Below are 21880 nucleotides of genomic sequence, written 5' to 3' on the forward strand. Positions count from 1 at the left end.
TCTCAGTAATAATAATAATAATAATAATAATAATAATAATAATAATAATAGTGCTGGGCCTCATCCCCAGAGCTTCTGATTCAGCAGGTCTGAAATGTGACTTGAGAATCTGTGTTTCTAGAGAGTCCCCAGTTGCTGCTGATGCCACAGCTCTGGGGACCACACTTTGAGAACCACTGCTGTGGACTAACATGAATCAGCAGGAGAAACAACAGGTCAGCAACATGTTGACGCTCTCTGTAGAAGAGCAGTCCCCAACCATTTTGGCACCAGGGACTGGTTTCATGGAAGAAAATGTTTTCACAGTGTGGGAGATGGTTTTGGGATGAAACTACTCCACCTCAGATCATCAGGTATTAGATTCTCATCAGGAGCACGCAACCTAGATCCCTTACACATACAGTTCACAGTAGGGTTCGCACTCCTATGAGAATCTAATGCCTCTACTGATCTGATAGGAGGCGGGGCTCAGGCAGTAACGCTCGCTGGCCCACTGCTCACCTCCTGCTGTGAGGCCCAGTTCCTAACAGGCCACAGGCCAGTATCCGTCTATGGCCCAGGGATCCAGAGTCCCTGCTCTAGAACATGCTTTCAAGTTATCCTTTTAAAGGACAAGTTATAATCTTCTCTTTCATAATTTTTTTGCCTGAGGCACAATTTTCTCCCAAACTCCTCCTCTGAGGTGCAGCTAACTAGAGCAAAATATACCCCACCTCTAATGACTATATGCTTTCCTTGTTATTTTGGTGTTGCAAACATTTCTAGTTCTTATTGCCAGAGACACCATGAACTGTGAGTGTACAGACAGTACAATTTTGAGCAGACCATAACTCTTCTCAATTTTCCAGTATGTTAATGGCTTCCTTACATTTTGTGATTAAAGAAACCAAGAGATTCCACGGTTTTGATGGTTCGCTTCTTGTTTTGTCTCTATCCAAGGTCTGACTCTCTAAACATTGTGTAGTGCAGGCTTTGTCGATCTTAACACTGTTTTTTTGTTTTAAACTTTTACTTTAAGTTCAGGGGTACAAGTGCAGGTTTGTTATATAGGTAACTTGTGTCATGGGGGTTTGTTGTACAGATTATTTCATCACCCAGGTATTAACCCAGGTTATTAGTTATTTTTACTGATCCTCTCCCTCCTCCCATCCTCCACCCTTCAGTAAGCCTCAGTGTGTGTTGTTCTCCTCTATGTGTCCACATGTTCTCATCGTTTAGCTCCCACTTATAGGTAAGAGCATGCAGTATTTGGTTTTCTATTACTGTGCTAGTTTGCTAAGGATAATAGTCTCCAGCTCCATCCATGTCCCTAGAAGGGCATGCATGATCACATTCTTTTTAATGACTGCATAGTATTCCACATTTTCTTTATCCAGTCTGTTACTGATGAGCATTTACGGTGATTCTATGTCTTTGCTATTGAACCTCAGCATTGTTAACATTTTGGGCTGGATAATGTTTTTGGTGGAGGTTGGGGGAGACTGTCCTGTGCATTGCAGGACATTTAGCGGCATTCTTAGCCATTTAGTGGCATCCTTAGCCAGTAGTCATTCAGGAGCAGGTTGTTCAGTTTCCATGTAGTTGTGTGCTTTTGAGTGAGTTTCTTAATCCTGAGTCCTAACTTGATTGCACTGTGGTCTGAGAGATAGTTTGTTATGATCTCCATTCTTTTGCATTTGCTGAGAAGTGTTTTACTTCCAATTATGTGGTCAATTTTGGAATTAGTGTGATGTGGTGCTGAGAAGAATGTACATTCTGTTGACTTGGGGTGGAGACTTCTGTAGATGTCTATTAGGTCTGCTTGGTCCAGAGCTGAGTTCAAGTCCTGAATATCCTTGTTAATTTTCTGTCTCATTAATGTGTCTAATATTGACAGTGGGATGTTAAAGTCTCCTACTATTATTGTGTGGGAGTCTGAGTCTCTTTGTAGGTCTCTAAGAACTTGCTTTATGAGTCTGGGTGCTCCTGTATTGGGTGCATATATATTTAGGATAGTTAGCTCTTCTTGTTGAATTGATTCCTTTACCATTATGTAATGCCCTTCTTTGTCTTTTTTTATCTTTGTTGGTTTAAAGTCTATTTTATCAGAGACTAGGAATGTAATCCCTGCTTTATCTTTTTTCCATTTGCTTGGCAGCTCTTCCTCCATCCCTTTATTTTGAGCCTATGTGTGTTTCTGTACATGAGATGTGTCTCCTGAACATAGCCCATCAATGGGTTTTGACTCTATCCAGTTTGCCAGTCTGTGTCTTTTAATTGGGGCATTTAGCCCATTTACATCTAAGGTTAATACTGTTATGTGTGAATTTGATCCTGTCATTATGATGCTAGCTGATCATTTTACCCATTAGTTGATGCAGTTTCTTCGTAGTGTCAATGGTCTTTACAATTTGGTATGCTTTTGCAGTGGCTGGTACCGGTTTTTCCTTTCCACATTTAGTGCTTCCTTCAGGAGCTCTTGTAAGGCAGGCCTGGTGGTGACAAAATCTCTCAGCATTTGCTTATCTGTACAGGATTTTATTTCTCCTTTGCTTATGAAGCTTAGTTTGAAATTCTGGGTTGAAAATTCTTTTCTTTAAGAATGTTGAATGTTGGCTCCCACTCTTTTCTGGATTATAGGGTTTCTGCAGAGACATCCACTGTTAGTCTGATGGGCTTCCCTTTATAGGTAACCCGACCTTTCTCTCTGGCTGCCCTTAACATGTTTTCCTTTATTTCAACCTTGGTGAATCTGACAATTATGTGTCTTGGGGTTGCTCTTCTTGAGGAGTACCTTTGTTGTGTTCTCTCTATTTCCTGAATTTGAATGTTGGCCTGTCTTGCTAGTTTGGGGAAGTTCTCCTGGATAATATCCTGAAGAGTGTTTTCCAACTTGGTTCCATTTTCCCCATCACTTTCAGGTACACCAATCAAATGTAAGTTTGGTCTTTTCACATAGTCCCATATTTCTTGATGGCTTTGTTCATTCCTTTTCATTCTTTTTTCTCTAATCTTGTCTTCATGCTTTATTTGATTAAGTTGATCTTCAATCTCTGATATCCTTTCTTCTGATTGATCAATTCGGCTATTGATACTTGTGTATGCTTCACAAAGTTCTCATGCTGTGTTTTCAGCTCCATCAGGTCATTTATGTTCTTCTCTAAACTGGTTATTCTAGTAGCAACTCCTCTAACCTTTTTTCAAGGTTCTTAGCTTCCTTGCATTGGGTTATAACATGCTCCTTTAGCTCAGACAAGCTTGTTATTACTCACCTTCTGAAGCCTACTTCTGTTCAATTCATCAAACTCATTCTCTGTCCAGTTTTGTTCCCTTGCTGGCAAGGAGTTGTGATCCTTTGGAGGAGAAGAGGCATTCTGGTTTTTGGAATTTTCAGCCTTTTTATGCTGGTTTTTCCTTATCTTCCTGGATTTATCTACCTTTGCTCTTTGATGTTGGTGACCTTTGGATGGGGTTTCATGTAGACGTCCTTTTTGTTGATGTTGATGCTATTCCTTTCTGTTTGTTAGTTTTCCTTCTAACAGTCAGGCCCCTCTGCTGCAGGTCTGCTAGAGTTTGCTGGACGTCCACTCCAGCCCCTGTTTGCCTGGATATCACCAGTGGAGGCTGCAGAACAGCAAAGACTGCTACTTGTTCCTTCCTCTGGAAGTTTCGTCCCAGAGGGGAACCTGCCAGATGCCAGGCGGAGCTCTCCTGTATGAGGTGTCTGTCGACCCCTGCTGGGAGGTGTCTCCCAGTCAGGAGGCACAGGGGTCAGGGACCCACTTGAGGAGGCAGTCTGTACCTTAGAATAGCTCAAGCGCTGTGCTGGGAGATCCGCTGCTCTCTTCAGAGCTGGCAGGCAGGAACATTTAAGTCTGCTGAAGCTGCACCCACAGCCGCCCCTTCCCCCAGGTGCTGTCCCAGGGAGATGGGAGTTTTATCTATAACTCCCTGACTGGGGCTACTGCCTTTCTTTCAGAGATGCCCTGCCCAGAGAGGAGGAATCTAGAGAGGCTGTCTGGCTACAGCAGCTTTGTCGAGGCTCGGTGGGGATCCACCTAGGTCAACCTTCTCAGCGGCTTTGTTTGCACTGTGAGGGGAAAACTGCTAACTCAAACCTCAGTAATGGTGGACGCCCCTCCCCTCACCAAGCCCAAGTGTCCCAGGTCAACTTTAGACTGCTGTGTTGGCAGCAAGAATTTCAAGCCAATGGATCTTAGCTTACTAGGCTCCATGGGGATGGGATCCGCTAAGCTAGACCAATTGGCTCCCTGGCTTCAGCCCCCTTTCCAGGAGAATGAATGGTTCTGTCTTGCTGGCATTCCAGGTGCCACTGTGGTATGAAAAAAAACTCCTGCAGCTAGCTCAGTGTCTGTCCAAATGACCACCCAGTTTTGTGCTTGAAATCCAGGGCCCTGGTGGTGTAGGCACCTGAGGGAATCTCCTGGTCTGCAGGTTGCGAAGACCATGGGAAAAGCATAGTGTCTGGGCTGAATAGCACCATCCTTCATGGCACAGTCCTTCACGGCTTCCCTTGGCTAGGCGAGGGAGTTCTCCAACCCCTTGCACTTCCCAAGTGAGGCAACACCCCACCCTGCTTTGGCTCACCCTCCGTGGGCTGCACCCACTGTCTAACCAGTCCCAATGAGATGAGCCAGGTACCTCAGTTGGAAATGCAGAAATCACCCATCTTCTGCATTAATCTCGCTGGGAGCTGCAGACCGGAGCTGTTCCTGTTTGGCCATCTTGCCAGACACCACCAACCAACAATGGGTAACTTTTTGAGAATTAGACTGAGTTCCAATCCCAGCTGTTCCATTAAGTAAGCACATGACCTCAAATGAATATTTCACCTCTCAGTGCTTTATACTACAAAGATCTGTAGCCACTGGTCTCTCACCATTACAGGACAGTATACAGAATTCAACAAAGCAGATGCAAATTGATCGTGAAATTAAATTGCATGTCTTGCAAAAGATGTAGGGTTTAGGAAGTCAGAAATGATGAGAAATACTGGAATTGCTGGCAAAGCCACTAACAAAAGACCAGGAAAGTTAGATTTGCCAGCAACTAAAGAAGTGAAAATCAGCCATGATGATGACATGATAGTCATTTCAAAGATCGGTAACCTTAACTTCACAAGATTAATATTCACTCTTGTGATGACTGACAATGCCCTCAATTTAACTATTACAGTTGTTCCTCATTATCTTCAGGGGATACGTTCAAAGAGCCCCAGGGGATACCTCAAGCTGCAGATAGTACTAAACCCTATATATGCTGCACTGTGTTTTTTCTTATACATACATACTGTGATAAAGTTCGGTTTATAAATGAGACCCAGTAAGAGATTAACAACAATAGCTCATAATAAAATAAAGCAATTATAAAAATATACTGTAATAAAAGTTGTGTGAATGTCATCTCTCTCTCTGTCTCAGAATATCTTATTTGACTGTCCTCACCCTTCTTGTGATGATGTGAGATGAGAAAATGCCTACATGATAAGATGACCCGAGGTGAATGATACAGGATTGTGTATAGTGCTTAACACTTATGAATTGTTTATTTCTGGAATTTTCCATTTAATATTTTAGGACGGTGGGTAACTGAAACCTCAGAGAGCAAAATTGCAGAAAGTAAAACTGTGATAAGGGGGGACTATTGAATTATAGCTTTATCGCCAATGGTAAACATTTAGTGAACAATGTCCTATTGTGCCACTAGGGTAGGCAGAATTCTAAGGATGCCCCCACTGAGCCCTGTATATTTCCTTCTCCTTTCAGTGTGGATGGAATCTGTAAATATGAGATGTCTCTCCTGTGATTATGTCACTTATATGGTAAGAGGAAGGTAATCTGGGTAGCCCAATCTATCCCATGAGCCCTTTATAACCAGAGAGGTTAATCTGGCTGGTAGTAGAGGGGGAAGTCAGATAAATTGGAAAAGCAAGAAAAATTCACTGCTGTGTTGCTGAAGGAAGAAAGAGGGACCATGTGACAAGAAGTGGTGGCCTCTAGAAAGGGAAAGAGGCCCTTGGCTGGCAGCAGGAAACAAGAAATGAGCCTCAGTCTTGCAAGCACAAAGAACTGAATGAATTCTGCCAACACCTGCATGACACAGAAGGTAGAGTCTGGCCCTGGGCTTCCAGACGAGAGCCCTGCCTTGCTGACACCTGTGAGACCCTGAGCACAGAACCTGGTCAGACACTCTGGGTAGGACCTGAAACCAACAGAGCTGTGAGCTAACACATGAGGATCGTTTTAAGTAGCTAAGTTTGCCATAATTCCTAACAGAAATAGAAGACTAAATAGAGCCATCCTACAACTCCAACTATGTTTGAAAAAGTGACACCAAAAAACTTGACTTATTCTTTTTTATTTCATATAATTTCACAGTTTTTTGTTACCATTATGACCAGGGTTTTTTGTTTGTTTGTTTGTTTGTTTTGTTTTGTTTTGAGACAGCGTCTTGCTCTGTGGCCAGGCTGGGTGTAGTGGCACGATCTCAGCTCACTGCAACCTTTGCCTCCTGGGTTCAAGCAATTCCCCTGCCTCATCCTCCCGAGTAGCTGAGAATACAGGCTCATGTCACCACGCCCAGCTAATTTTTGAATTTTCAGAAGAGATGGGGTTTCACCATGTTAGCCAGGATGGTCTTGATCTCTTGACCTCGTGATCTGCCCGCCTCAGCCTCCTAAAGTGCTGGGATTACAGGCGTGAGCCACTGCGCCCAGCCAATAAGAATGTTTTTATAAGCTTTAATGCTTCCACACAAATTCCCATTAAAACTTTTCTCCACTACCTGTGATAACAGTTGGGTCCCTATTTCAAGTGGATTGACTCCAGGTAGCCTTTGGAGTTTCTCAGGTCAGCAAACGCAACAGTAGTTGACAGCCAAGGAAAGAGAAGTGATAGGAAAAGAGACGGGCAGCCTCACTCTGAGGACTGGAAAGAAAATCCAATTCTTTGCTTCTTTTCTCCGCCCTTGTCACTTGCACAGCAGCCCATAGCTCTGGTGAAAGGGGAAGATAAGGTGGCTCTCTCCTTAAGATGGTGCACTCGAAACTCCTGACTGCACCAAGTCCTAATCCTGACTCAAATTGCCATTCTTTGAGCAATTAAGACAATTGCTGTTGCTATTCTCTTAATTACTCAAATAAGCTAAAACCTCTCTTTAATTCTTAAACAGCTTCCATTTAGATTTTAGTCAACTAGGATACTGAATAATAGTTTTTAAGCGAAATTTATGGAAGCGATTAAACAATTTCAGCAGTTCAGTCTGAAACCAATTTAGGCCTTTAAGCAGGCTCATCTTCCTCCCCCACAAAATTAGACACCAAGTGGCCAAAGTTAACATTTCTTTTATTAACCCAAGTTACAGAACATACTATTGGAATAACATCAAAATGTTGTCTTCAAAAAACTATTCTACACCATTGCCAGAACTGACTTCTGGCAGATGACAAATTGTTAGTTTGGCTGCCCTAAGTGTATTTTAGCTCCCTGGCAACAATTTGCTAGGCTCAGTCCATTTCCCAATATTATCTTTAAAAACAGAGTTCTATAATAGTATCCATTTCCCACCACTAATAAGAAAAAATAAGATCTAGCAATAGTCCCAATTCCATTTCTTTATGCCTTCTGTGCAGCTAAGCAAGATCACATAAAGTCAAAAGTGATAGTGTAGAAATGCCAGAGTCACCCATAAAGCCAGTGACAAAAATGGACCTGGAGAACAAAGTGTTCAGCAACTGAAGAAGTGAAAATAAACAAGGATGTTAAGTCGAAAAAGACGTGAAGACAGATATCTGGAAGGTGCTTTTAGGAGTACCATATCCTTCAAACACATACCCAAGGGCACAGAACACTGTCTGATGCAGCACTGCACGCAGCGATCAACGCCGTGCTGCAGTCCATGGTATTTCAGCTGAAAGGAACAAGAGTCCCAATTAAAACAGGCTTAAACTGGAAGGACATGTATTATCTCACATAGGAAGGCTGGGGAAAGGGTAACTCCAGGTTGTTGATTAATTTAGTAGCCAAGTAATATTTTACGCTACCTTTCTTCTCTGCAAGTATGTTGATATTTCCCTTTTGGGTTGCAAAATGATTCCATCAATTGCAAACATCACTTGCCTCTGCAAAGACTTCTCTAAACATCTATCTATAAGAGGGCCTCAGTGATTTGGCATCTTAAGTTACTCTCCCAGCTGAAATTTTTCTCAGATTAAATTATTTGAATTTCTTTTGTATGTGGCGTTTGGCTGGATTTATTGTTTATAACATAATTTATTTTGAGTTTTAATGTGGAATTTAAAACTGACATTCATTGTGATAAGTTCTCTATTTGTCTTATCTGTGCCATATTATTTCATGATTTTTATTTTTTAATCTTACCAGGTTTGAATCTGAAAAAAGCCTGGTATAAAGGGAGATAGAGTGGGACCAGATTATGCAGGGATTTGCTGGCCATTTTAAGAATTTAGGATTTGTTTTAGTTCAATGGGGAGGCATTGAATTGTTTTGAACAGGGTACTCCTTGATTCATTATACATCTTAAGATCAATCCAACCATTACAAAGGAGGTTGGAGGAAAGAATGGAGGCAGTAAGACCAGTTAGGAGGATGTCAATTGTAGTACACGTAATCAGCGAAGGTGACCTGGATTGGGTGGTAGCAATGGTCAGAGAGGGAAGTGAATTACTCCAGTTTAAGATCTGACAGCTACAGACTTGCCTATGAATCGGGTGTATGGCAGGCAGCCAGGAGGAGACTCAAAGATGATATTTGTTTTGGTTGATGGCATTACTCTCTGGGTAACGGAGAGGCCTGAGGAGGAGGAGAATTCATTTGCAGGGCAGACAGCATCAACAGTTAATATTTTAGACACGTAAATTGAAGATAATCTGGGAAAACTGCCAAGTGCATGTCATGTCAGCTATTGGGCATGTGAGTTAGCTACTGCTCAGAGCAGAAGTCTAGACTAGAGATAAATGTGGGTGTCATCAACCAACTGAGCTCCAAAAAATGCCAACAGTAGAGGCCAAGTAAAGGCAGAGCAGCCACCAAAGGAGAATAAGGGACAGACAATGCGGTGGGAGGGATATTACGATAATCGTTTTTCTGGTGTCAAGAGAGACTATTTTCTCAGAATTTGGACCCAGGAGAGATGACAGAAATTGTCATTGGATTTATTATTACGGAAGTTATTGCTATCTTAAGGAGAGCATTTTTCATTGGAGTAATAAAGGCAAAAGGCAGGTTGAAGTGGTTACAAAGTGAATAGGACGGGAGGCAGTAGAGGCATTATGTGGTGACATTAAGCGGAAGTTTGGCTGAACGAGAGAAATGGAATTTTTTTGGCATCACTTGAAAAGACCGTATCAGTCCATAAATGCTCAATGAAGGTGTAGAATGAATCTTAACAAATAGTTATCAGTGTTGATACAAAAATGAATGCATGTCTGAGATATATATTACTGTCTGAACAGAAGTATTAATATTGAATTCAATGTATTTCTATAATTGAAGGAACCTAGAAACAGCAGTATGTTGCAAAGAATGGAACAACTTAGAGTTATTTGCCGTTCAGTTGCTGAGCTCTGTCCAAGAGCACCCTGATTGCTGGGCTCTGTACCATGATCTTTTCAACTGCCTTCATGACCGTCTCAATCCATCTTGCACCACAGTCTTATTACAGATCTTCATGTGAGCATCATTCATCATATAATGCTCTAGGATCCAGAAGGGAAGAATGGTGTTGTTTGAGTACTACTCCTTCACAGTAGAATTGGACAAACCATTTACCATGTCTAATCTCAATGACATATTCTAAAAATAAAAAAGTTAACATTATTAGACTAGGCTTTCTTTTATTTTCCTTTTTATTTATACTTTCCTATATAAATAATGCATATTATACAGGGTCATTTTAATGCATGATTTATATAATGATAGTTTATAGTAGAACTTTTTTCCTGTCTAAAATTTTAGATTATATGACTTCAAATAATATGTTTCATTTTCCACAAAGAAGAGGTATTATACCAATTATATTTCTTATATCATCTTGATTGTGAATATTTAAATGAATGCAAACATAAAGAAAATGCAATTAAATTGAAGATCAACAACCATTTCCTGAGAATCATTTTATGAAATCATTTAGGAAAATTCATTTTATTATACGCAAATAGGTTCTGAGGAGCATTTAACTTTGAGGCTGAATAGTGATGATATAATCAAGAGCATATAATTTGGACATTTATCATTTCAATGTAGAGAAACTGCTGCTCTTATTTAAAGATAATACATATCAGTTTATAGATTTTATATCTCCCTGTAAGTACATTACCATAATCATATGTCAATATAATATCACTAATTATAGTTACATTAGAAGGTAAGTAATTGGCATGCATTTAAAAACTAATTACTGAGTTTTATTGCCACTGAAACTCTTTGAATAAATTCAGCTATTGGGGGAAAAGAATTGACGCTGCTGTGAAAGTTGATTATATGAAATGGGTCATTTTGTCATACCCAAGTAAATCGAGGGGCTGGGGAAAAAGCACTCAGGGCATGTAGCACCTTTTTCAAGAACTGAATTTTCCTCAAGCCTAGCTGCTGAAATGGCCTGCTGTCACCCTAAGACCAGTGTTACCTAGTAAATGCTGAAACAACCTGCTGTGACACCAAGAGTTCTACCTGCTGCCCTCACTCACCAATCAGAGCTTGCCAGCTCCCAAAAGCTTCTCTAGTGCCAATGAGCCTTCTTTCAAAACAATACATAACATTTCTTTCTTTTTTTTGAGATAGAGTCTTACTTTGTTGTCCAGGCTAGAGTGCAATGGTACGATCTTGGCTCACTGCAACCTCTGCCTCCCAGGTTCAAATGATTCTCATGCCTCAGCCTCCAGAATAGCTGGGATTACAGGCGTGCGCCACCACACCTGGCTAATTTTTGTATTTTTAGTAGAGACGGGATTTGATCATGTTGGCCAGGCTGGTCTCGAAATCCTGGCCTCAAGTGATCTGCCTGCCTTGGCCTCCCAAAGTGCTGGGATTACCGGCGTGAGCCACTGCGCCCACCGACGTTTCTCTTTCTAATAAAACTCCCAACTTTCTCTTTGTTCTTTGGAGATATGCCCCAAATTGCAATTCTGTGATTGCCCCAAAAACCATTTAATTTAGAGATTCATCTCTGTATTTATTTTGACCCAACACTGTGCTCAAATAAAAATTGCCTATGGAAGTGGAATAGATTGCAGTCTCCAGTTTTGTTTTACAAGGGTATGTGTTATAGAAAGTTAAATGTGTTGACTTTTTTCTCAGTCATAATATCATCTTGTTTATATAAAAATAGAGAAAATAATTACAGAAAACTTTATGCCCACATTCCTTTTGTTTTTATATCTTAGTTATGGAAAGAAATCATTGTTTTTTGATGATTCATAAAGCTCACTCTAGTTTCGTGATAACAAAGCATTACTTGGGTTTCAAACAATGTTACATAAACCACAGTAAATATACTTATATAAAATTAAGCATAGCTCTGCTTGTCTTCTTGGGAATTGACTTGAGGTGTATTAAAATTTACATTTTCTATTTTGCAAATCAGAAGAAGCAAGGAGGAAAGAAAAGGATAAAATGAATACATATCATTATACAAATTAGTATGTTAAATTATTTTCCTCTCTATGCCAAGCAGGAAATGTTGTCAACACATCAGCAAACCAGACATTGTACTCTAAAATTTGACTGGCAACATTTATTGTGGAAACTCCAGTGGTTGGTATAGCCTAACTTTACGTAATGATCTCCATTATCGTTTAGGTTTGCTTAAGTGGTATTTTAAGAAAATGTGACTTGTTACAGCATACACGAAGATCTGTTTCTTATCTGAGTATAATTTACATAAATTATAATTTTCATGAAACATTAACCTTCACTTTTGTGTGTTCCTTTATTTCAGTTGATTATAGTTTTTATGTAAATCATCCTACTAAATCTGTTTGTAATTTTAAAATTTCACTTTGTTCTGATTTAAGTCTGTTTTGCTTTTGTGCCACAAGCTATTATTTCTTGGATAAGGGCTTTTTTCCAGCGTGGGTTTTTATCATATCTTCATATTTAAATAAAATTACTAAGGAAGTAGTAATTATAATAACAAAGCTAATATAGCCAGTAATACTGTGGAGAAAATGTGAAGGTACTGTGAACTGTAGGGCTGGCTGGGCGCGGTGGCTCACGCCTATAATCCCAGCACTTTAGGAAGGCCAAGGAAGACAGATCACCGGAGGTCAGGTGTTTGAGACCAGACTGGCCAACATGTTGAAACCCTGTCTCTACTAAAAATACAAAATATTAGCCGGGTGTGGTGGTGGGCACCTGTAGTCCCAGCTACTCAGGAGGCTGAGGCAGGAGAATTGCTTGAACTGGGAGGCGGAGATTGCAGTGAGCGGAGATCTTGCCACTGCCCTTCAGCCTGGGTGACAGAGTGAGATTCCGTCTTAAAAAAAAAAAAAAAAAATTAGTAAGGGCTGCTCAAAAGATCTTTTGCCCAGGATGAGGATTTCTCAACACAGAGGCTGGGAAACCTTTACCCAGGCAATTTTTCTTCAGTGTCCAATATTGAAACTAGTACAAGGGTTGATTTAAAAATAAACCTTGTAATTGTTTCATTATAGAAGCTCCTCAACTTGCAATGGCTTGCCTTCTACAAAGCCATGGCAAGTCGGGGACCCTCTGTATTTCCTAAAGAGGAAAGTGCACAGTGTGAGGATGAATCCTGAGATTCCTGTGGAACCACAAGAGAGAGAAAAACTCTTTGCAAGTGGCAGCCACAGCCTCTTAAGCCAAGGGTAGGACCTGAGCCAGAGGTGGGACCCTAGGCAGGGCAGGGCCTAAGATAGGCATGAGCAACCTGGGGAAATCATGATGCACATATATAAGCAATGTGGTGCTGCTTATATCTGTGAATATGCCCATAAAATTCAAGAGGATATAGATTTAAATATAATGTGAAAGATACGTTTGTATTCCATGTAGAATTCGTTGCTTCCAGTGAATTGGATTATTTGTTTATTCCTGGACACTCAGCACATTTTCCTGCTCCTGGACTGCTGCTCTTTTTGAAATTCTTGCTCTCAATCTCCATATGTTCATAAAAGTTTATTTATTTTAAGGTTCAGACCCACTTCATTTTCCTATGTGAAAATAGGAAATAGTCCCTGATGCCTTAAAGTAATTCTTCCCCATTGATGACCCTCCAAATAATTTTGTTGCACTTTGCTACTGGCACATTACTTTCTATCACATATTGTTATTTATGTATGAAAACCCCTATAGCATATAGATTAAACGTGTGGGCTCTGAATTCAAATTACAGCCTTGCCACTTCTCGGCTGTGGAACTCTAGGCACGTTAATTAACCTTTCTCTTCCTCAGCTTCCTCATGGGTAAATAGGAAAATACTACCTGCGTTGCAGGGGTCTGAGTATTAAACAAGTTAGGATACATCAAAGAGCATGTCACTTTCACCTGTGTTTTTCTGCACCCCAGCTGACACAGGGCCTTGCATATAATTAGGTTCTCAGACTCATGAAACAACTGGGAACATACTGATTTCTAGGAATTAGAAGGTTCATTTTAAATATTTAAAGCTTTTAATTTTTCTGTAAATATCCTGACTACCTTAGAAACAAATAATACAAGATACAATTTTTATACATAAAATCTAGAGAATTAGTTAAATTACTATTACTTAAAATATATGGGTGTATGCAATTTTCAGAAGGACTTTTTTTCTTTTTTGATTTGAAGACTAATATTGCTTTCTAGTTTTAAAATAAGCCTGCTAATTTGTAATTGCTTTGAAAAACATATTTTGTTTATAGGAACATAATGAAATTGTGATAGCCTCAGAAAAGTAGGGAAAGAGTTGGGCCTATTTTTCTACCTGTAACTCAAACATCTGCAAAAATTCTGCAAGAAAGAACAAAATCCATATGTTCTTTAATATCTAGGCTAAATGTTTATTTTGTTTGGTGTCACTTATTTTACTTCTGCTCCTGATACATCTTTGTTTTTTGTTTAGGGCCTGAAGGGGCTCTTTTTGAACATTCAGTGGAGACACCCCTTGTCAGAGCCGACCCGTTTCAAGACCTTAGGTAAGAATTTTTGTTCAAATATTAACAACCTCTCCTGTAGAAGACAAGAGGGTATGTGCTGGAATAATGTTAGCAGTGACTACTTCCTGACTGTTTCTTATTTCATCAGTTGCCTTTATTTTCAAGACTTTCCGCTTATAACTAGATAGTATTTATTAAAATCCAAAGGAGGTCAAAAAGTCCTACTGACTCCACACTTGGTGCCTGTTCACAGCCTCCTCCTTCCTCCTCCTTCTTCCTCTCCAATCTGCCTCTCACACTGGTATCAAAATGACTTTGCTAAATGCAAGCTGGTTAAAATGCTTCATCGCTCCCACATCACATCAGCCATAGGAAAATCCTAAGTGCTCCACTGGGCACCCACAGCCCTTCATAGTCTGGGCTGTGACTGGCGGGACCTCCTCCCCTACCCTGTCACCCAGACATGAGTGACTGCCATATCCTCGCCCACCCATCCCACACCATCCCCTCTGTGCTTTTGCACTGACTGTTGCATCTCCCTGGGGTGCCCCCCTCCCCGAGGAGACCTCATGAATGTCTGCTCATCCCTCAAGTGTTAATTGAGATGCTACAGGTTTATGATTCATATATTTTACAAACCTATTATTTTCTCCTGAAAAGTGTCAGCATACGTTTCCTGAAGTTTTTTACAATTCTTAACACAAAGCATGTGCATATATATATTACATTATCCATCTCTACACTATCTGCAAACAAGGCAAAACCTTTGCACTTTTTAGTGGAAGACAAAGGTGCCTTATGTGGCCGTGAAATGTGCAAAAGGCACTCTTGAAAATGTCAGTTTACTTTAAATTTTTAAAAGATATATGCACTATTAGTAGTGAAAATAACATTATAAAAACCAAGTGCACAATAAATCCATATTTGCAAAATAGTTGGAAACATTTAGTGTATCTCTTTTTTAATTTGTAGTAACATGCACATAACATAAAATTCACCATCTTAACCATTTTTAGTGTACAGTTCAGTAGTCTTAAGTACATTCATATTACTTCGTGGTCATTACCACCATCCATCTCCAGAACTCTTTTTATCTCGCAAAACTGAAACCCTGTATCCATTTAACAAGTCCTCATTCTCTTCTCCCGGTCACCCCGGCACTCACCATTCTACTTTCTGTCTCTGTGGATTTGACTAATCTGGGTGCCTCTCATATGAGCGAAATAATACAGTTTTTTCCTTTTGTGCCTAGTTTATCCGACTTAGCATACTTTCCTCACCCTTTGGTATATCTGTACATAATACCCTGAATATATAAAAATCACCCAGTTCCATACATAAATTTATTATTTTTTACAGAATCTTTGTGTCTATGTGTATTTTACCTTACCACTAGGCTACTGAATGTCATTTACACCTATAACTATTCATTCCAATAATATATTTGTATTTTATAACAAAACCAAATAATATTTTAAATGGTCTTAAAGTTCATGCTATCACTTAAAATCACATTTAGAATTTAAACTTGAAGTGAATGCAGGACAATTAATATATTTTAATAAATTATGTATAATAGGGAATACAAGGTACAGTAGGAATCCCAGCTTTACACAGACAAGCCGGCTGACCATGGCCAAACTAACCTTTCCAGACTATTTTTTCTCATATTAAACATTACTGATAGTAATCCTTACCTCAGAGTATTCTAGGAAAGATTTAATAAGATATTATGTTAAAAGCATTTTGTAAACTGAAAAGTCAAACACAGACAATCTTTTATTTTTTTTTTTTTTGAGATGGAATTTTGCTCTTGTTTGCCGAGACCAGCTCGGTCAGGGAGACCCTAACCCAGCAGTGTTAGAGGAATTAAAGACACATACACAGAAATATAGAGGTGTGAAGTGGGAAATCAGGGGTCTCACAGCCTTCAGAGCTGACAGCCCCGAACAGAGATTTACCCACATATTTATTAACAGCAAGCGAGTCATTAGCATGGTTTCTATAGATATTAGATTAACAAAAAGTATTCCTTACGGGAAACAAAGGGATAGGCTGAAATAAAGGGATGGTTGGGCTAGTTATCTGCAGCAGGAGCATGTCCTTAAGGCACAGATTGCTCATGCTATTGTTTGTGGTTTAAGAACGCCTTTAAGCGGTTTTCTGCCCTGGGTGGGCCAGGTTTTCCTTGACCTCATTCTGGTAAACCCACAACCTTCCAGCGTGGGCGTTATGGCCATCATGAACATGTCACAGTGTTGCAGAGATTTTGCTTATGGCCAGTTTTGGGGCCAGTTTAAGGCCAGATTTTGGGGGGCCTGTTCCCAACATTGTTGCCTAGGCTGGAGTGCAATGGCACACTCTCGGCTTACTGCAACCTCTGCCTCCCGGATTCAAGCGATTCTCCTGCCTCAGCCTCCTGAGTAGCTGGGATTACAGGTGCCCACGACCACACCTGGCTAATTTTTGTATTTTTAGTAGAGACGGGGTTTCATCATGTTGGTCAGGCTGGTCTTGAACTCCTGAGCTCAGGTGATCTGCTCACCTTGGCCTCCCAAAGTGCTGGGATTACAGGCATGAGCCACCGCGGCCAGCCAACAATCACTTTTTAAATTGTTATTATACAGCCGGCCATGGTGGCTCACACCTGTAATCCCAGCACTTTGGGAGGCCGAGGCAGGTGGATCACCTGAGGTCAGGAGTTTGAGACCACCCTGGCCAATGTGATGAAACCCCATCTCTACTAAAAATACAAAAATTAGCCAGGCGTGGTGGCACATGCCTGTAATCCCAGCTACTCAGAAGGCTGAGGCATGAGAATTGCTTGAACCTGGGAGGCAGAGTTTGCAGTGAGCCAAGACCATGCCACTGCACTTCAGCCTGGGCGACAGAGCCAGACTCCGTCTTTTTATCAAGGGAAAAAAAAATTGTTATTATACTACATAGATATTCTCCCTAAATAATAAAGGATTAGGAAAAGCAGCATTTTTTATATATTTAATGTCCAATTAAATATTCATCAAAAGCAAATAGGAGTTCAATTTATCTTACCCACAAAGTGAACATTTGTAACATAAAAATAGATTGTGACTATAATTAAATTATAACAAGGTTTAATTTTGAAAATGGATAAAAAGATTAACATTAAAGAATTTTTATAGAGAAGAAAAACATTTTATTTTCCTAGGTTAGAAAAATCATTCAAATCTGTGGAAATAATCCCATTAAAGCCAATTTAAAATTATAAAATAATATAGATTGTAGAAATGCCAAAACACTTTTAAAGTAAATGTCAATTTAAAAAATATATAGATCTCAATTAAATAATTCATCTCATGTTATCCCATTAAATCTTCTCACTGTATATACGGCAGGCTCTTACTGAAAAAGAAACGGCACAAGAGTATTCTTTTGCTTTCTAAAAGGCGGTACTGAGGAAGGATTGAGCAACTTGAGTGTTAAAACCAAGGCAATTGAAAAAAATAACAAAACTGCAAGGAAATGCTCGAGGAGTGTGGTGAGGATGGGAGGTGGGAACTAACATTCACTGAATGCTTTTGACTGCCAGGAACTGTGCTCAGTGCTGTCACAGAATTTGTTTCATTTAATTATGAAGTGATTGGCAATTTTATCCCCATTTTATAAAGGCAGAAACTCAGATCTAGATAGTTCCATGTTGTAAGTCACAAAACTAAAAAGGTAGCCACTCATAATCGAATCCAGCTTTGACTCCAGAGCCCATGTACATCCAGTTTGCTGTCTCCACCACCCAGCGGATCCTTGAGAGATTGATTCTTTGATTTACACTGAGATGCCTCTGACTGATTATATGATGGTCATATCTTCTTCTTCTGCAACTTCTTGCCATCAACTATGTTCCACTTTTTATTTCTGGTTCCAGCAGCATTACTATTCCTGGCCTGATTACAGTAAAAAGATTCTGGAATATCTTAGTTGGCATATATATATATATATATATATATATATATATATATATATATATATATATTTTTTTTTTTTTTTTAGTCGGAGTCTCACTCTGTCCCCAGGCTGGGGTGCAGTGGCGCGATCTCGGCTCACTGCAAGCTCCACCTCCCAGGTTCACACCATTCTCCTGCCTCAGCCTCCTGAGTAGCTGAGATGACAGGTGCCTGCCACCATGCCTGGCTAATTTTTTGTATTTTTAGCAGAGATGGGGTTTCACTGTGTTAGCCAGGATGGTCTTGACCTCCTGACCTCGTGATCTGCCCGCCTCGGCCTCCCAAAGTGCTGGGATTACAGGCGTTAGCCACCGTGCCCGGCCTTAGATTTACATTTCTTATGGCAAAATCATTTGCAAGGAAAGTATGAACGCTGACAAACTACCTTAAAGCAACCTTGCATTCACACATGATGTAATTCATTCTTTTTTAAAAAGTCAGCAAAAGTGTATTAAAGTGTTTATGTGCCAGATATAAAAGGCATGGTCGTTGACCTCAATGAGTTTACAGTCTATTGAGAAAAGAAACTTGCAAACAAGTTAGAAAAGTATATTTAACTGCTATGATAAAAGTACAACTTCTATTGGAGGCATAGGCAAATAAATATAAAATCTTCCCAGGGTAATCTGGGATGATACCCCAGAAAAGGGAGGAGTTGAATTCTGTGTAACACCATAAGGATGTGATGTCAATTAAGTAAGTTATTATTTCCACGTCTGTTCATCTACTTATCTAAGGAAGATACACATATACTACTGTGTGGATGGAAACATTTGCACCTGTTGCAAGCACTTGCAAATACGAAAGTTTACCTAGTAAGTGTTTATAAATACTAAGCTCAGTTAGAAACCAAGAAAGGGTAATTCCCAGGTCCCAACAATAAAGAGGCAGCTCATGGTCAGAGTAGAGGAAGAGTTAAGCTAAGCTACTCATAGAGAAATCAGGATACATAGAGACTAGCTGCTGAGACATTAATGCTGATGTGGGAGTGAGATTCCAAGTGATTGTTCAGTGTGCATGAAACACCCTGGCTGAGAAACCTCCGAAATCCTGACCTCCCATGAATCAGGTATTTCACACAATATGCCCATCAGCCCAACGATGTCACAAGAAAGATTGCTATTTTAGGCCATGGGTTGAAAAATTACCCACAAGAAATCATGACCTGCAAGCCGTTGCCTGGCCGAGGTAGAAGCAAACGCATACTACTTCACGGTATAGGAACTCCGAGGTGGCAAATTAACAGTAAAAACTGCACCAAAGTCTGTGAAACTCATAGAACCATTTAAAAACAGAGAGAAACGACATTGAAGAAGTTATCCCATCACACATGACATAAAGACACTTAAGGAAAACAATACCTGCTAATGACTAGTTTACTAAAAAAAAAAAAAAAAAAAAAAAGGGCCGGGCGCGGTGGCTCACGCCTGTAATCCCAGCACTTTGGGAGGCCGAGGCGGGCAGATCATGAGGTCAGGAGATCAAGACCATCCTGGCTAACACGGTGAAACCCCATCTCTACGAAAAATACAAAAGAATTAGCCGGGTGTGGTGGCAGGCACCTGTAGTTCCAGCTACTCAGGAGGCTGAGGCAGGAGAATGGCGTGAACCCAGGAGGCAGAGCTTGCAGTGAGCCGAGACCACGCCACTGCACTCCAGCCTGGGCGACAGAGCGAGACTCCATCTCAAAAAAAAGGAATTGAACTACCATGGAGAAGAATTAGAATTAGCAGCTGCTACAAATAATCTCCTGGAACTGTTATGTCATAGAGCAAAGCAAAGAGATTTTTAGAACAAGTATAAATAAAATGCTCAAATGAGGAAAAAAATGAATAGAAATGAGGGAAAAAATGAATAGAAATGTAAGACAAAGACAAGATATTTTGAAAAATGGCAGATTTGGGAAATAACAAAATAGAAATTATAGAAATGAGACATGAAGTAATTAAAATAAAATCACTGGCCCCCAGAACTTTGTTTCTCATACCATTCTCCAAGGAACCGGGACTTCTTAGAGAAGTGGCTGATCCCAGGGCTGGGCCAGGGAATGGTGAAGATGGGGCTTGGAGCAGCCTAAAGTTCAGGGAAATGCTAACCAAAAGAAAGTAGGCATCGCGATATTAATAGCAGACAGAATCAAAATTAGGAAAGAAATAGCATTAATAAGAATCAATGGGGTCCGGCGCGGTGGCTCACGCCTGTAATCCCAGCACTTTGGAAGGCCGAGGCGGGTGGATTACCTGAGGTCGGGAGTTTGAGACCAGCCTGGCCAACATGGAGAAACCCTGTCTCTACTAAAAATAGAAAAATTAGCCAGGCATACATAGTGGTGCACACTTGTAATCCCAGCTACTTGGGAGGCTGAGGTAGAAGAATTCGCTTGAACCCGGGAGGCAGAGGTTGCAGTGAGCTGAAATCACACCACTGCACTCCAGCCTGGGCAACAGAGCAAGACTCCATCTCAAAAAAAAAAAGAAAAGAAAAAAAATCAATGGGAACACTACTTGATGATAAAAGGAAATATTTACCAAGTCAGTTTAGCAATGATGACCTTTTATGGTTTAAATAACATAAATCATTTTGAAATAAAATTATTTTCATTACTTTTTAAAACGTACGGATGGAATCTAAGAAGCATGGATATTTGATGCCCACCATCAAAGAACTGAAAAACATACAAACAAGCTCTTCTTATGGAGTCAGAAAAGTTTTCTTTTTGTCCTTGACCTAATACTTACAGTTCACTTACCCAAAATTTTTTCCCAATATACACTACTTAGTGATTGACAGTATTTCATTGATCACTCTATCCTATTTCTCCACAAGAAATATATTTATATAATTATATATATAATTACTTCTAGTGACTATAGAATTTTTAAAATTTCTTTTGGATAGAGTCATAATTTAAGGAGAAAACAATTGATCAAAACAGTATAGCTGTAGTCACCCTACAGTGCTATAGCACACTAGAACTTATTCTTCCTATGTAAGTTGTAATTTTGTATCTATTAGCCAGCCCCTCCCTATCCTCTCCTCCTCCCATTATTGTATATTTTCAAATAACTAAAGGAGAGAATTTCAGATGTTCCCAACATAAAGAAATCATAAATGCTTGAAGTGATAAATATGCCAATTACTCTGATTTGATTATTACATATTGTGTATATGTATCAAAATATCACTCTGTACTCCATAAATATGTTCATTTATTACATATCAATTAAAAATAATTTTTAAAAGAAAAAATCAATATATTAAGATTTTTGATAGTAACAAAAAGTAAAATTGTATAAAACTACATCTTTTAGTGAATGGTTGGAACTTTTTAAAAACTATTTGATAGATCTGCTAATAAATATAGCTTATTAATAGAAGGAGTCAAGATCAGGCATCAATATCTTTCCTGTTTTTTAAGTAGATGTCCCAAGGAGCCTGTTCACATAAGTAAGTAGGTATGAATCAAAAAGTTTTATTTTTTAAAAAGTCACTCTACGTTCTGAACTCTTCCCTAAATATACACCATTAAAAGTTATTTGTAATGACTATCGGCGACAATTCATTAGGTCTTTCTTCAATTTTTGTTGAAAGTAAAGAATTAGAAACTGTGTAACTTGCCAAATGATTACCTCGTAATCACTGTAGTCATTCAATTTGTCAATTCTGTCACCAATTTTTTAATTTTCCCTTGCACATTACCCCTGGAAGTATTTCTACCCCAGTGTAATACATCATAATCGATTCAGAATCAATGAGCATGTCTTTCTTTATAAAGTGGGAGAAGGAG

General features: G+C 39.6%; 1 protein-coding gene across 5 annotated transcripts in view; it reads left to right on the forward strand.

The window, feature by feature from the left end:
* The window catches only part of SGCG (sarcoglycan gamma), a 164655-nt gene that overhangs the window by 120828 nt on the left and 21947 nt on the right, over positions 1–21880 (forward strand). For all 5 annotated transcript variants that reach the window (NM_001378244.1, XM_047430542.1, NM_001378245.1 and 2 more), the window contains one exon: positions 14080–14152. In NM_001378244.1, coding sequence (NP_001365173.1) covers positions 14080–14152 — 73 coding nt within the window. The remainder of the gene's footprint in view (positions 1–14079; positions 14153–21880) is intronic.

Source organism: Homo sapiens, chromosome 13 (assembly GCF_000001405.40).
Source record: "Homo sapiens chromosome 13, GRCh38.p14 Primary Assembly".
In the NCBI taxonomy this organism is placed as follows: Eukaryota; Metazoa; Chordata; class Mammalia; order Primates; family Hominidae; genus Homo; species Homo sapiens.